The 13,605-nt window shown below is 39.6% G+C and overlaps 1 protein-coding gene across 8 annotated transcripts in view, besides 1 other annotated feature; it reads right to left on the bottom strand.

Annotated features, from left to right (window-relative positions):
- Positions 1 to 13,605, bottom strand: part of CDH13 (cadherin 13) — a 1,173,672-nt gene that overhangs the window by 781,614 nt on the left and 378,453 nt on the right. The gene's annotated exons all lie outside the window — the stretch shown is intronic.
- Positions 12,402 to 12,585: a silencer, noted in NCBI's record as "fragment chr16:83040047-83040230 (GRCh37/hg19 assembly coordinates)". NCBI's record gives its function as "represses an EF-1alpha promoter that drives an FKBP-Casp9 reporter gene in an ReSE screen in HepG2 liver carcinoma cells {active_cell/tissue: HepG2}" and the evidence as "EXISTENCE:reporter gene assay evidence [ECO:0000049][PMID:32094911]".

Raw genomic sequence — 13,605 nt, 5'->3', positions numbered from 1 at the left:
TAAAGTCTATAGTCCTGCACAGTAATGTCCTAGGCCTTCACATTCACTCACCACTCACTCACTGACTCACCCAGAGCATCTTCCAATCCTACCACCTCTATTCGTAGTAAGTGCCCTATACAGGTGTGCCAATTTTACCTTTTAGACTATATTTTTATTATACCTTTTCTGTGTTTAGATATGTTTAGATACACAACCACTTGCCATTGTGTTACAATTGCCTATAGCACTCAGTACAGCACCGTGCTATATATGTTAGTAGCCGAGGAGCCATAGGTTGTAAGAGATCACCTAGGTGTGTAATAGGCTATACCCTCTAGGTTTGTGTAAGTCTACTCTGTGATGTTCCAACAATGATTAAATTACCCAGTGGTGCATTCTCAGAGCATATCCCTATGGTTAAACAATGCATGACCATACTGGAGGGGCCTAAAGCAATTCAGGTTACCATTTGGAAGATCTAGTTCCTTCTGGGTGAAATAATGTGCTTGTCACTGGGTACTTTCAAGTGGAACCTATATGACTTCATCAGGAATATTGTGGAAGCAATTCCAGCATTGAATGATGTCTCTTACAACTGGGAAATTCTGTTATTCTAAAGTTCAACATACTCATCCATTAACCCATTAAAAACATCATTTTTTCACTTACAATGTACAAGACAGTAGGCAGTAAGGGATAAACGGCAACTAAAGGTGAATGTGGAATAGCATCTATTTTCATGATACTTAGCGTCTAGAAGCTTAGACCCCATAATTATTGGCAGGGCTGTCATGTTGAAGGGTCAGTGTTCCATTTCACTCCAATCCCCATAATCCGATATTTCAACCATTTTACAGAGGCAAAATGAGATAAGCTGGGAGAGACTGAGCCACCCATAGTGCAAAGGTTTACTTGTAGAACTGGGGTTTGAACTCAGGTTCACCACACTCCAAAGGCCAGGCTTTTCACTGGCCCATCATATTTCTTTTGATTACTGTATTTTTTTAAAATGCAAAAATTACTGAGTGAAAAAGAAGAGAGTTTTTTCACATAAAATTTACCAAACTGTGTTTTGCTGGGCTTGTTTCCCAACCTACTTGATTCACAAAAATGGATAAATTGACTACTGCATATCAAAACTTTGTAAAACATTAAGCTTTGGTTTATGACCCAGCTGCAGATGCTAGCAGGACATCATTTATGTTAGTTCTGCACTCTTCCAGCTGGTATAAATGGCTGTGGCATCAAAGCGTGTTGGTTCATATGAACACACCTTGGGGATTACATGAATTGTTTCCCTATATATTCAAGTCACTCTACAAAACCCTAATAGTGCTAATAGTACAGAGCCCTAATAGTATTTCATGTTTGATGTCTATCATATATAATACCTACCATTTATGAAGCATTTTCTATATGTCAGTCCGTGGACTAAATACTTGATAAACATTATTTCTTTCAATTCTCCAACAGTATCATGAAGGTAGGGGAGAAAACCTGAAGCTCAGAGAGTAAGAACATTTCTTAAGGTCACACATCTGTAAGTAGGAAAGCTGGATTGCTTTTTACAACTAATATAGAATCCAGTTCCAGGTCCTTGGGAAAGAGAGTGGATTCCTTCAAATGATGGTATCCAAAGTAAATGTTCGAAGTTATTCTACAGCTTAGCAGCACAGGACATAACAGGGAGTCAAAGAGTCTGTGTCTTGAGCTAAAAAAGGTGTCAAAATGGAATTGAGTAGAATCTTGAAGTCAGTAATTAAATCCATCAGCAAAAATCCAGACAGCAGATGCCAGAAGACCCTGTGTGTCAAAGCTTAGGAAACACTCAAGCTCTGAAGAGGGTCAAGGAAAATGAATGAATGGGGCCCAGGCAAATCCTTATGCACCCATTAAAGATAGTCAAGAACACCTAAATGTAGTCAAGAGCTGTTACTAGTGTTCTTTCTTCAATGACTGGGGAAACATAAGTTTGAAATTTGCTATCATTGATCTGTCTATAACTTTTATCAAATAACTCTTGAGATTTGAAGTTCCTACGGATCAACACCTGCTATTCCACTACGAAGTCATCACACATCCCAAGATCGCATCAAATAAAACACCATGGAGGAGAAAAGAACAGCACAGAAATTTGATCCAAGGACTTCAGAATGTCAATTTTGGTTTTCATAAATGTCATAAATGACGTGTAGCCAGTATGTAGATGAGCATCTTTTGTACAAAAAGATCCAAAAGCATTTTAAACACCCCATCCTTCCTTCCTTGTGGATATCTAGAATGCTTCTAAGCAGAGATGGCCTTGTGCTACCTTGATTCCAGGACAGGGTCCAGAAATGTTTCTAGATGGCAGGGTAGTGTTTAGGGGCTCAAGAACACCATCTAAGGCAACAATGGATCTCCTTCCTAAAGGGAATGCACAAGGCTTTGACAAGGTTGGTGGCTTGATAATAACCAGCAGGGATGCCAATCAAACTGCAGCAGACTGCAGAAGGCCAGCTTCCACACCTTGAAAATTTTCTCCTGACCTAACCTGCCCTTTGGTAATCTGGAAGATCCTTGAGGGCAAGAGCTTCCTACAGTTTTATCTCCATATCTCTGGCTAGGCTTGGTGCTAGCCCTAGAAGAGAGTTGGCAATCAAAAAATATTAGCAGACTCCTTTTGGTTGTAACCAATTAATTCATTTACCTCCTCCCTAATTGCAGTGTGTGAGATACTCATCAGCTGTGATTACAGATTGGTTCTGTCTAGTTGACAAGACTTTATCAGGAAATTAAAAGACAATGATTTGGCTTACAATACATGAAGCACAATTAATTCTTGTGTGCATACGTGGGTTTTCTGGTGTAAGCAAGAAAATAATCAGCCCTGTAGGCCATGCCTATTCATCCTCCAGTGGCCAAGTGATTTTTATTACATCCCTTAGGCCATATGGCATCATCTCTAGCTCCAGTCTCATGGGAATGAAGGATGCCTGCCAAGAGTGCCTTGCCACTTGTTAAAGGTATCTCATTTTTCTGTGATTTCTCCACTCGACAACAATAGCGCTCACATATTTCCTTAAGAAGTAAAAGCCAATGCAGCAGAAGGCTTTTGTGCTGCTTTCCACCCTATTTGAATTATCATGGGAAGTGCACAAGCCAAATGTAAATCATAGCTTTCCATCACAAGTGGCAACTTTTGCAATTGAATAATTCTTACATGGGATCTCAAGTACATTACTGTGATTATAGACAGCCCCATGTGTTTGGAAATGTTCTTTTTGCACATACCCACGGCAAGTCTAAGGTTCCTGAGATTTATTGCTCGTGCTTTTTCTTTATATATATATATATATATATATATATATATATATATATATATATACATACACACACACACACACATATATGCTGCAAGCTGAAGCATATGGTCCCCACAACTGTGATATTTACGATAATGAATCACAGATGTTTAAATGGATGTAATCTGAAAACAGTTAAATGCTAAGATGCTGGAATCTTACTGCAAACATTACAAAGTGAGGACCTTTGGATTATGTTGATTTTCAGATACTATCACCAGGAATACTACTTTACATATGCTGGGAAGATATCAGGCAGAAAAGAATGACACTTTTTTTTTTCTCTTTTTAGCAGTACGGTTTTCAAAATAACCAAGGAACTTTGAGGGTGGAGATTTGGTCATTCTATTGATCACTGAATTGCAGCGCCCTTTAGAATTAAGGGTGAGATTTCTCAGTGGATAGTCTTTAAATAGGTATACATCCTTTAACTCATATTATTTAATAGTCATTTTAAAATACAAAAATAATTAAAAATGGAATCAACTGAAGTGAAATAGGAGATGCAGCCTGTTACTATCTCAACAAGCCCTGACTTCCCCGATTAGCCACACATTTTGATTATTAAATTATTCTACCAAATTTGCAAGCTATATATACACTTAAACAGTTCAGTAGGTAGGTTTTCTCTTAATAGCTATTAAATACTTTTTACATCAGTTTATATAGATTGCTTTTTTATGACTGCATATTATCTCTTAGTATGGATCTATCTGCTCTCATTAAAGCAGTTCCCTATTGCTGAACACTGAGGTTTTCCGTTTCATTAATTACCAACTGTGTAGTAGTAAATGTAAATATACATATATATATACACAAACATATATATATACATATATATATACAAATATATATATACAAATATATATACAAATATATATATACAAATATATATACATATATATATACAAATATATATATATACATATATATATATATATATATATATATATATATTTTTTTTTTTTTTTAGATGGAGTCTCCCTCTGTTGCCCAAGCTGGAGTGCAGTGGTGCAATCTCAGCTCACTGCAACCTCTGCCTCCCAGGTTCAAGCAATTCTCCTGCCTCAGCCTCCCAAGTAGCTAGAATTACAGGCATGGGCCACCACTCGGCTAATTTTTTATTTTTAGTAGAGACAGGGTTTCACCATGTTGGCCAGGCTGGTCTTCAACTCCTGACCTCAAGTGATCTATCCGTCTTGGCCTCCCAAAGTGCTGAGATTACAGGCATAAGCCACCATGGTCGGCCACAAATACCTTTATACCTGGCTTTTATACATATATTTAAGTAGTTCAGAGCCATTCTGAAAGTGCTGATTCAAATGAAACGTCAGTTAAAATTTAGTTAGATGCTAAGTTTTTTTTTTTTTTTTTTTTTTTTATCGATTTGGGCTCTAAGAGTTGTCTCCTCACGCTAACGGTTGATAATACAATGTTTATTTTTGTTGGCCAATCTGATGGTTGGAAGAGAGTGTAGTATTAGTTTGAAAATTTTTCAATGAATGGGAAGGTTAGAGATTGTTTTATAATATCGGCAATTCTATTTCCTTTTTTTGTGTGTGTGAATTGCCTGATCTGTCAGAATATTCAGGAGTTCAACTTGTCATTACTTGTTCTTTTTGCTTTTTTCCTTATCAGACTGTGAACTTCTTGAGGGAAGAAAGTGTCTTGTTTGCCATTTTACCTCGAGTGTTTAGCAAAGGCCTGTTATATGTGTTTTATTGAATGAAGACGTGCTTATACAGATGAGGCTGATGTTTCTTTCTGTTATCACACAGCTGCTTACCAGAGTCCCAATTTCCAACAGGAAACTCAGGGCAAACCCTCCTTCTGTCTTTTGGATTCCTCCCTATGTTGTGTCTCTCTCACTAGAATAAAACCTCCATTCTTGCAGAGACCGGGCCATCCCAGCAACCCTTGTATCTCTCGCACTAGCACAGAGCTTGACAAACAGTAGCCACTCACCAGATATTTTATAAATGAATCAGACTTTTGTGATCTGTCAGATTGTCTCTATGTCAGGTATCACACTGACATCTAACTCTGAGGAATAGACAAGTTACTGACTTTCTGATTTTCTGTTCATCTGCTTTTCTGTGGTGAGATGGACAGGAGAAGAGGATTTATTTGGAGCTCTTCCTGAGGCTCTTAATCCCACTTGTGAGGATTGGGGTTTGAGGTGTGTACAGATCATGTGGAAGGGAAATGTGATTATGACACTGAAGCGTGGGCTTCATGGCTTGCTTGGTTTGTTTATGGCAGCTGCGTAAAGAAGGCTGCTCTGCTAACTCACTAGAGTGGGCCTAACTGAGATGCTGAATCCAGGAGCTGAACTCATACTCCTATAGGATGACACAAAGTTGTGAAGTCAGGCCTCCAAACCAGGAGTCTGGAATCTACAACCTGCATGTCAAATCCGGCCCACTACTGTTTTTGTAAATAAAGTTTTATTGGAATACAGCCACACTATTCACCTACATGTATATGGCTGCTTTTGAACTGCAACAGCAGAGTTGGATAGTTGCAACAGAATATCTCGCTCATAAGCCTTAAATATTTACTTTCTAATCCTTTTCAAAATAAGTTTGTTGATCACTGCTGTAGGCCAAGGTCATATTTTTTCTCGCATTTTGCAAGAGATCTGCTCTAAGCCACCTAAGTGCTCAGGCAAGTAAACTCATCCACAGTGTATTCTGCACCATCAGTTCCATGATTAACCACAAAGACAATCAGCAGAGTGGGGAAAATGATTCACAAACACCTGAATGTTATCTCTATGCATGTGTATTGTATTGCCTTTAATTTTTTAAATTACAATCTGCTGGGAGATATTTTCCATTTAAAATAAATTCTCAAGAGGCTTAACTTTTTAAATACACTTAAAAATCCATTATCTGTAGTCTTTAAATATATGGACAAGCACTTACAGAGAAAATAAATATACCCTGAAGTGCCAAATGGAACTGTATCTATAATTTCGGTATCAAAAGGAATAATTTAATTTAGAACCAAACAATTAGCTGGGAATCATGCTTAGATCAAGTTCGGGTGCAAAACTGTTTGTCTTCAAGGTCTGTTTCCCATACTTAAAGTGATCCGTTATCTTTTAATATGATTTGTCATATATATATAGTTTTTTCTTGTAGAGAGTCTGTCATTATTTTCCCCCAAATGACGAAGATGTCTAATTTTTCTGCACTGTGTAAGTGAAACCATTTGAAAATTTAGCCTCTTGGAAAATGAAATGGGAATTACATAGCCCAAAGGTGGTAGGAAAATAGCGATTTTATTTTATATTTTCCTTGGACCAGGGCTTACTTCATTAGAAGAAAGCAAAGCACTATTTCTTTGAGCAAAGGGGCCAAAAAAAAAAAAAAAAAAAGGAAAGAAACCAAACAACCCCCAAATTGTTTTAACATCTCTCTAAATTTAGATGCTATATTTGGAAAATTGAAAAGAGATAGTCACTGTGTATTTTAAGTACTTAAAAATCCAAAGAACTCAGAAAAATATTGTGTTTAAACTATAACACATATTTCATCTGTAATTTTATAAGTTATTCTTGGATAGTTTTCTGAATTCCTAAAGTTTTTTAAGCCAGTGTATCACCAATGAGTTCCTCTTTCAACTTTCAAATGGTCCTGGGTAACACAGACCTAGTCCTGGGCTGGGGAAAGGGCGTAAAATTAAAATCTAGTGATCTGAACACAAAAAGAGTGGGTGAGAAATAAAAGGAGAATAAGGCAGCGTTACTCACTCTTTCATTAATAATAACTTTGAAAATATTAATAATAGCTGTAATGAACGAAACAGTTGTTCAACCCCAACTCCCCTCTAAGAAAGAAAGGTAGATCCAGCAAAGAGCAAGACCCTTTGTTCTGCTGAACTGAACACTTGCTGGGTTTGGCTGTAGAAGTTTGGGAGAGTAAAATAGCGATTGCTGAAGAGCATTGGAAAATGAAAGCTTAACTGGGAGTAGAAGAAGAAGGGAAGAAAGGAAAGGGCCGGAAAGGTGGTAGAAGATCACACAGGTGTCCCCTGGTCCCCGAACCCTCAGTGGCATTCACCTTGCTCAGTGATATGTGTGTATGCATGTTTCTTGTGCAACCTGGTACAGGAGCCACGTTTTACCGCCCGGTTGACTCAGATGGGGAAAGAGACAGCCTTTCAAGCACAGGACCCAGAAGCAACATGGGTCATGACAGTACAAGCCCCTGGGGATTACCATATGTGAGAGGAAGGGCTTTCGATTTGCACTACTTGTAGAAGTTGAGGGCTCACCTTCTTTCAGACTAATTCCCTGGGGATTGAATGTGCTCATGAGGTCTGGTTTATATTTAATATTTATTCAGCCCTTTCCATGAGCTGAACAGTGTGCTAAGACTTTGCAAGCATGACGTCATCATTTTAAGAGCTTTTTACAACTCTGTGTGATATTACTATTATTTCTCCACTTAATAGAGGGAGAAACTGAGCCTACAGTGAAGCTGTGTGGTAGATGTAGAAAAACCTAGTCTCCAAACAACCTGCTTGGCTTCGAAGCTCACACCCCTTACTACTTTGTCCTGCTGTCTCATACTCAGTAAACTGAGCCCCAAAGATTGTGCTGTGTTCCATGAGCATGAAACAGAAGAAACGTTCCACACCATCTTTATTTATCATGACTCTGGCCAGTGAGTAAGCCATTTAAAATTAGGCGACGATGTTGCATGTTCTACGCATTAGAAGTGTGAACTAAGTGCTCTGGAAAGAAAAGAAGGAGCCATCTGGTTTGAGCTTCAGCCACAAAATGCTAAGAAATTACATTTAAGTTTCGCCTTAAAGAATGGGGAGAACCAAAGAGCTGTTTGCTACAACCAACTGCACGTAAGCTCCACTACTAGTAAATGACATTAAATATGAACAAGTAGATGTCCCCGCAGGATGTTTCTAATCATAGGTTCACAAACCCACCACTGATTCCTTTTTTAGAAAAAATAAGTATTTCTTTTGATTCAGTAGGGCTCTGGGTAACAACCATTAGGGACTTCATCAGCCCTGTTTGCAGCAGATTCACCCACAAGGAGGTATTTCTGAAAATATTCTGGACAACTACAAAGTGCAACAGAAATTTCAAAGTGGAAAGGAAAGAAAAAGGGCAGGAGAAATAAAATGTGTGTGTGTGAATGAGTGGGGTTCCTCTTCATTAAGTGCTCAAAAGGAGATAAATCAGGAGAAAGTGAGAGCACAACATTACCTATGGTTTATACTCTTGAATTAAAACAAGCAAAGGGGCCAAAAAAACCCTACATTTCCATTTCTGACAGTCGTGCATCTCTGTCATTCAAGCTTTCTCTTACAGTTAATGCAGGTGGGAGGGGTATTAACTGATCATTGAAAATAGTGTTAACCTCTCTGACCTCCAATTTGTTCTTGCAAAAATGATGGGATTGGCGTGGACCAAGGATTCTCAAAGTGCTGTGCCAGGATCAGCAGCATGAGCAGCCTTAGGAGCTTGTTAGAAATGCAGATTTTTGGCCCCTACCTGAGCCATTCTTGTTTTTTTTTTTTTTTTTTTTTTTTTTTGAGACAGAGTTTTGCTCTTGTTGCCCAGCCTGGAGTGCAATGGTGTGATCTCAGCTCACTGCAACCTCCACCTCCTGGGTTGAAGTGATTCTCCTGCCTCAGCCTCCTGAGTAGCTGGGATTACAGGCGTGTGCCGCCATGCCCAGCTAATTTTTTGTATTTTTAGTAGAGACAGGGTTTCACCATGTTGGCCAGGCTGGTCAAGAACTCCCGACCTCAGGTGATCCACCTGCCTTGGCCTCCCAAAGTGCTGAGATTACAGGCGTGAGCCACTGCACCCGGCCTGAGCCATTCTAATCAGAATCTTTGGGGATAGAGCCCAGCAGTCTGTATTTGTTCATGCTCAAGTGTGACAACACTTGATAATATTTAATTTCCTAGATGGCATAATCTCCTAAATGCTTGTACAGCTACATGACTCAGTGGGTTTATTAAATATACATTATCCACCATCAAATATGCACTAATAGATACAATTTTTTAAAAAGAACAGCTATTAAATATGCAGAGAGAATATTGGCTTTGGAGTCAGAGTGGTCCTGGGTTCAGATGTAAAGAGTACTGCTACTCAGCCATATGAGACTTTGCAGGGTATCTCTGATCCTCAATTTGATGATCTATAAAATGGGAATCATGATGCCTGCTGTCTAGAATTGTCTGGAGGAAAAAAAGTGAGAGAATGTAAAGCATCCATTACATAGAAAGACACCTACAATAGTTGCAAGTGTAATTTCATTAAAATAACAAACTCAACCACAGTTCACTGCTCCTCTCTTTGAATAAATATCATAATCTAAACAAATGAAAGAGACACCTCTTACTGATCCACTCTGCTTAAATCAAGAGCACTGGTTTTCTGTGTCACTGTCTCCAGAAGTAGCCCCTCTCAGAAGATGACAAAATACTGGATGCTAATATCAAAAGACCCAATTAAGTGTCATTCAGTCATTCATTCTCTTGAATGAAGTAGACATGGACTATGATCTGGTTTGGCTGTGTCTTCACCCATATTTCATCTTGAATTATACTTTCCATAATCCCCACATGGGGTAGAAAGGACCCGGTGGGGGTGGAATTGAATAATGGCAGTAGTTTCCCCCATGCTGTTGTCATGATAGTGAGTTCTCACGAGATCTGATGGTTTTATAAGGGGCTTCCCGCTTCACTCAGCTCTCATTCTTCCTCCTGCCACCAAGTGAAGATGGACGTGTTTGCTTCCCCTTCCACCATAATTCTACCTTTCCTGAGACCTCCCCAGCCATGCTGAACTGTGAGTCAATGAAACCTCTTTCTTCCATAAATTACTCAGTCTTGGGCATGTCTTTATTAGCAGTGTCAGAATGGACTAATATAGAATAATCTGTGAAGATGAAAGGAAGGAGGGAGAAAGAGAGGAAGGCCTCGTTCTGGCACAGGCCACCATGATCTTCTGCCTGGGTTACGGTGGTAAGCTCCTCACTGATTTCCCAATCCCTCATCCACCCATCTCCCACACCCAGTGGTCTCAACACAGCAAAGGTCCAAGTATAACATTATGTTTGTGTCACTCGTCTACTGAAAACCACCTAATTAGGAGTTAAAGTTCCTGTTCTAACCTACAGCCTTCTCCATAACATACTTTGTTGTACGCATTTTGTGCTACTCTCACCCTCACTCAGTCACTCGGCCCCACTGGTCTCCTAGTTCTTCCTCAATCCCCCAGGCATTCTCCGCCTCAGGGCCTTTGCATCTGCTGTACTTTCTGCCTACAGTGCAATTCCCCCACATTTCCAAGGCTCCCCTGCATAACTTCCTAACTTCCTTCTGGCATCTACTCAAAGGTCACCTTTGTTATCTGCCCCTTCCTGGACAGCCCATCTAACATTTCAATACATGTTTACCCTGACATTTCTCTGCTATTTTTTTTCTCCTTAGCACTTCTTATTATTAAAACGTATCCCATAGTATGTTTTTGTTATTTATACTATTTATTGTCTGCCTCTTTCACGAGAATGTAAGCTTAAGGTATCATAAAGTCCTGGAAAATACCTCATACATGGTAGCTCTCTAAACATAATGAATCAATGAAGGAATGGGTTGATTTCCTTCATTTCCGTGTCTTCTCTTAGCAACTATGATCCATCAATCACTTAATGATGAATGAAAATAGCCAAGTAAGTCGGTAGGTAGGTAGGAACAATTGAGGAAAAGGACAAATATAACCTGACTTAATGTTGTTTGGCCAAGTATAGCTATGGATAAAAGAAAGAAAGAAAAAGTTGCATGCATAATAATTTTAAGGCATTTTTCTTTTCTCTCTTTTTTTTTTTTTGACAGAGTCGTCTTGCTCTGTTGCCCAGACTAGAGTGCAGTGGTGTGATCTTAGCTCACTGCCACCCCCGCCTCCTGGGTTCAAGTGATCCTCCCATCTCAGCCTCCCAAGTTACTGGGACTACAGGCACAAGCCACCCTGCCCAGCTAATATTTTTAGTAGATACAGGGTTTTGCCATGCTGCCTAGGCTGGTCTCAAACTCCTGGACTCAAGCAATCCACCTGCCCCAGCCTCCCAAAGTGCTGGGGTTACAGGCATGAGCCACTGAGCCCGGCCTTAAGACATTTTTCTTACGAGGTATTTTTTAGCCCTTAGGGAAATTTATCATGAAAGCAATAGAGTTCAGAGCAAGAACTCTGGAATCAGAGCTCAGATTTGATTCTGGATAAAACCTGAAGAGTTATATAACCTTGGAGAAGCTAACTGCCATTTTGAACCATAGTTTCCTCACGTGTGAAATGGGTTTCATGTTAATATATATAATTCATGGATTATAGTGAAGACTACATGAGACAGCATTCATAGATCACCTGTCACGGTGCCTAGCACAGAGTAATGTGTCAATGAACATAACATCACTATGATTAGAATTTAAGTCATCATGCTGGGCGCGGTGGCTCATGCCTGTAATCCCAGCACTCTGGGAGGCCGAGGTGGGCAGATCACCTTAGGTCGAGAGTTCAAGACCAGCCTGACCAACATGGAGAAACCCCGTCTCTACCACAAATACAAAAAATTAGCTGGGCGTGGTGCATGCCTGTAATCCCAGCTACTTGGGAAGTTGAGGCAGGAAAATCGCCTGAGCCCGGGAGGCAGAGGTTGTGATGAGCCGAGATCATGCCATTGCACTCCAGCCTGGGCAATAAGAGTGAAACTCTGTCTCAAAAAAAACAAACAAACAAACAAACAAACAAACAAAAAAAATCAAAACTGGGTGTTTTGAAGAAAAATGAAATGTGCAAAATTTTAGTGGCAAATTACATTGTTCCTTACTTCAGTGAATTTCAACAAATGGCGTTATTCTATTCTAAAACATCCAAATAACTTATTGGGATGAAACCTGTTTCTGAAAATAAAGTTGCCACAATTTTGAAAAGAACCAGTTTTTAAACATCAGTAAGGGCTCCTGGCTAGCTTCAAACTCTGTTGGAGGTACAGCTCACTTCATCATTATTTGCTTCTTTAGACACTATCAGAGGGAAACCAGTGGTTACAAAAGTGAATAACCCTCATTGGGATATGGGCTGTGGACAAGGAGCAAATGGCACCACCAAGAATGGTGTTATCGAGGCTGCACTGAGCAGTCAAGCGCTTGGCTAGTCTTTTTCAAGTCACCCCATCATCCTCAGGCTTAGCCTTTGATTTGTCCCTGAAAGGCAAGCTTTGGCATTTTTTAGAGAGGAGCTATTCTGGGGGAAAGTAAGTTGTGTTAGTCAAAACCATTCAGGAGACATATCTGAACGTTTTTTCAGATGCACCTGGGAGAAAGCCTCTCGGATCAAAATTGTTTTCCTCTCTGTATTAAGGAAAGGTTGTATCATCACTGGGGTCTAAAAGCATACACTCAAGATGGCACTAAGCTCATGGTCATTTGCTATTGTGTTGGGTCTTTTTTGTTTATGTATTAAAGTGATGTGATTGAGACTTGAAAATGCCCCCACTGAGCTGCCAGTAGATGAAAATTACCAGAAAGCTTTGAGTTAAAGGAGAGCTGACGCCAGTATTGTGCAACTGAAGCACAAGCTATCTTAAGCTACCAACCTTAAGGACATGAAATGTAATGGTGAATCTGAACTGAGTACATTTCAAAAATACTTAAATTCTATTGTCAATGACATATGAAGGACTTTTGCAACATTAAAAACAAGTGAACAAAACCAACCAACCAAAAAACCAAACACCAGTGCTTAATCTTTTAATGTCTGCTATCTGATTTACTCATTATCAGTGAAGATGACTGTACAAGCTTACATAATTTCTGCCAGGCCTCTTAAATCCTCTGCCAGGAATTGTTTTAAATAACTGAGCTCACCATAAACATTTTTAAAGGAGCAAATCAAAACAAAACAAAGCAAAAGAAACAAAAAGCCTAGCTCTCTTGTTGGAGTCAGAGAACCAATTAGGGTACTTCTGGTGAGAAGGCATGCATGAGCTGTGATGAGAATTTGACACTGTTTCTGAAACAAGCTATAATGGTGAGACAACTCCTTTTTACCTGGGAGGTAGAGAAGATGAACACACAAATAATTGGAGAATTTCCTTTGCCCTTCACAACTGGAAAACACTGCTCAAAGCTCTACACAGAAATTGGGCATCTGAAGGCCTGAGGTTGTTGGTGGGAGTGGCCTAGCTCAGTGGTGGGGGCGGGGCACTGAATCATGGAAGTACCGTGCCTGCAGCTA

Source organism: Homo sapiens, chromosome 16 (assembly GCF_000001405.40).
Source record: "Homo sapiens chromosome 16, GRCh38.p14 Primary Assembly".
NCBI classification, from domain to species: Eukaryota; Metazoa; Chordata; class Mammalia; order Primates; family Hominidae; genus Homo; species Homo sapiens.
This window is presented reverse-complemented; position numbering and strand designations above follow the sequence as displayed.